General features: G+C 46.8%; 1 annotated feature.

The window, feature by feature from the left end:
• Positions 1,708–2,907: an enhancer, noted in NCBI's record as "CDK7 strongly-dependent group 2 enhancer chr11:35137568-35138767 (GRCh37/hg19 assembly coordinates)". NCBI's record gives its function as "activates an origin of replication core promoter dependent on BRD2, BRD4, P300/CBP, MED14 and CDK7 cofactors, with strong dependence on CDK7, by STARR-seq in HCT116 cells {active_cell/tissue: HCT116}" and the evidence as "EXISTENCE:reporter gene assay evidence [ECO:0000049][PMID:35650434]".

The raw sequence follows: 3,196 nt of genomic DNA on the forward strand, positions 1-3,196 counted from the left end.
ACCACCAGTTGATGGCAGAATGAAGATCTAACCTCTGCAATTTGGTCTTCCAACTTGAAGCCTGATGATCACAATGAGGAAGGCTCTCCCTCTTCTTCCACCCTCTCAAAGCAGTGATAATCATTGTGAAGACCCTTTCTTTTAAATATGACAAAAAAAAAAGTGCCTGGCAGAGAGGACTTAAAAAGCAGATGATGAGGCCCCAAGGAGAAGGGATAGCAATGCTTATTAACATTCTGCTCTCTGCTGGACTATTAGATGATGGGTTGGAAAACCTTTTTCTGTAAATGGCCAAACAGTAAATATTTTAGTCTTTGCGGGCCACCTGGTCTCTGTCAAAACCACTCAATTCTGCCATCGTAGTTCACAAACAACCATGAGCAATACGTAAATCAATGGGCATGACTATGTCCCAGTAACACTTTATTATGGATTCTGAAATTTGAATTAGGTAGAATTATATTTCATGTATGGTGAAATATTTCTCTTCTCTTGATTCTTTCCAGCCATTTAAAAATGAAAAAGCAATTCTGTGCTTGAGGGGCATACAAAAGCAAACAGCAAGACAGATACCAGGGGGCTGTAGTTGGCTGACCCCTGATGCAGAGGCTGAGATTAACTTAATTCTACCAGCACTGCTGAGACTCATTTTATGCATGAGTAAACTGAGGCTCAGGGGCTTCCATCACCAGCTTACAAGGCAGATTAGTGAGGAGCAGAGCTAGGATTCAGTTCCTCTTTCCATCTCCTCTGTGATGCTCTTGGACCTAGTTGTTCCTTCTGTGTTTGTCACCACTGTGTGACAAGGTTGCAAGACCCTCTGTTATAGGACGAGGGAAACCGTCCTAATGGACATGCCCCTTCAGTGTGTGATGACGGCATTTGCCATACTCAAGCCTTTTAGGGAAGCAACGTCAATCAGCTGATGTTCAGGACATGTTGCTTCAGGAAATAGCAGATCCCAGCCACACCATGGGGCAGGTGCTTCGTACTCATTTGGTACGTGGCATAGGGCAATGGTTCTGTCATTGCCCCAGCTCTGTGGTACTGGTGACAAGACTCTTGATTCTCTGGCTTGTAGTCAGAAAGAAGTTTGGGAGGTTCCCACATGGCAGATCACCTTCGTGGGATAACACAGAAAGGTGCATTGGTCTCAAGGGCTTTGGATCATACTGGACAAGCAGCAGCAAAATGAGAGAGGTGCATGCCTGAAAGATAAAACTGGGCTAGGAGGTTTCCTGAAGGGTGCGGCCTGGGACTGGGAGATTTCCTGAGGGCCAACTAGGCTTTATCTCCCTCTTCTTCACATCCCGCATCTCAGACCTCAGACTTGGCTTCTGCCCCCACCTGCCAGACACACTCTCAGCTGAGCCAGCTGTAAGACTGGGGTCCGGCATCCAGCCTTTCCTCCTTGGTGCACATTGAAGACCCAGGAGTGCCCCGCACTGGAGCTGCTGTTCCCAGACTGCAGCAAAACCACAGCTGCAGCTGCCTGACTGCAGGTCTGAGCTTGTTTAGGCTTCACCGGAAAGAAAAATGCTCCCGCCTTATGCAATGGGTGCAGTCTGTCCTGGGAGCTGTGGCAAGCCAAGCCTGTCTGAGTGAGGGTGACTGGGGACCCTGGCACTTGCCTACTTACTTTATATCCTTTTAAAATTGTTGTTTCAGAAATAAACACTCTCAAAGTAGAAAATTTAGAAAATATGCATGACAAAAGAAAAAATGAAAATGACCCGTAATCCTGCTTCCTAAGAGTAACTGTTTTTCTTCTCTTTCCAGTCTTTTTTTCTATGCATGTGTGCTCCCTATCCAAATGGGATCATAGGATAAATGCTGCTTGGGGAATTTGTTTCTTTTTTATTTAACACTGTAGGGTGAACATCTTTCCATGCCAAAGCAAACTTTTCTTTGCCGTTATTTTTGCCTATCATCTGCTTTTGGCAAGTCCTCTTCCAAAGGTGTGTGGAACTTGGAGAGGATTTCTGTGTATTGGGGTCCTAGGCTCCAACTGGATCACCGGATCCAGTCCTTTTTAGGATCACCGGATCCAGCCCTTTTTAGGTAGGAGTGCGGGGGCAGCTCTGTGGCTTTGAGTAATAAAAAAAGCCCTAGGCTCATTGTTTGCACAAGTGTTCCTGCCCCAGCCCTGCTCTGACTCATGGTGCATCTTAAACTTGTCCCTTCATCCCTCTGGGCCTCAGTTTCTTTATCTATAAAATGGGACGGTCGGATTGAGGGCTTTGCTAGCTCTAATGTCCATGACTAAGCACTTGTATACTGAGGCAGATTCCAGAAGCCTCTGGGAGCATTGGCTGCTGAGAGGAAGTTATCTCTTCCCAGCCAGTAAGCTGGCATCTGGCTCAAGGCTAACCAAGGAGCTAGGCATCTTGGTCTGGAAGATCTGAAACCTCTCTGGGGTAGCCAGCACCCTATGCTATGGTTCCCAGGGCTTCACAGATCACTGGGTTCTCCCCACCTTCCTGTTCCCTGCCTCTGGGAAAGGGAAGCAGCCGTCCTGTGCCAGCACTGAGCTCACAACTCCACTGCTTCTTGGTCATGGTATTAACAGCTGGAACCTGCAGCAGCCAATAGCTACTGGTCACTCTCTGAAATGCAAACCAGGTGACTAGGCAGAGAGTGACATCTCAGGCAGTGCCAGGGCCAGTGCCTGGGAGGCTGGGCAGGTGGTAGAGCTGGGGCTTCTGGGAGCTGCAAAGGGCCTAGGAAAAGGGCGTTGGGTGGGCAGGCTTTCCTCACCTCTGTTTTCCCTTCCTCCTGTGATCCAGGAATAGCAGCTGGCTTTTCTTAATCTGATGTGAAGAGTCCTGCCAAGAAACTAGAAGGCTGAGGCAGCTGCTGTGTGAAGGTTTTGAGGGATCGGAGCATCATGAAGTATAAACAGCAGAATCTTTTTTTCTGGCACTTGGGCTGTTTGTCTTCTATACTCTTTTATAGAAATTACAACAACAGCAAGAACAATAATAGCAATACAGCTACCATGTAATAAGTTTTGCCATCTTCTAGGCAATGAGCCCAATGCTTTACTTGCTTCATCTTATTTGAGATGAGCTGTTTGTTGGTATTATCTTTATTTTACAGCTGGGGAAATAAAAGTTCCAAGAGGTTAAGCTATTTGCCTAAGGCTCCCTAGCAATGAGTTGCTAGGCTACGATTTGGACTCAGAACATCTGTTCTT

The sequence above is a fragment of the Homo sapiens genome, chromosome 11, assembly GCF_000001405.40.
Source record: "Homo sapiens chromosome 11, GRCh38.p14 Primary Assembly".
Taxonomy (NCBI): Eukaryota; Metazoa; Chordata; class Mammalia; order Primates; family Hominidae; genus Homo; species Homo sapiens.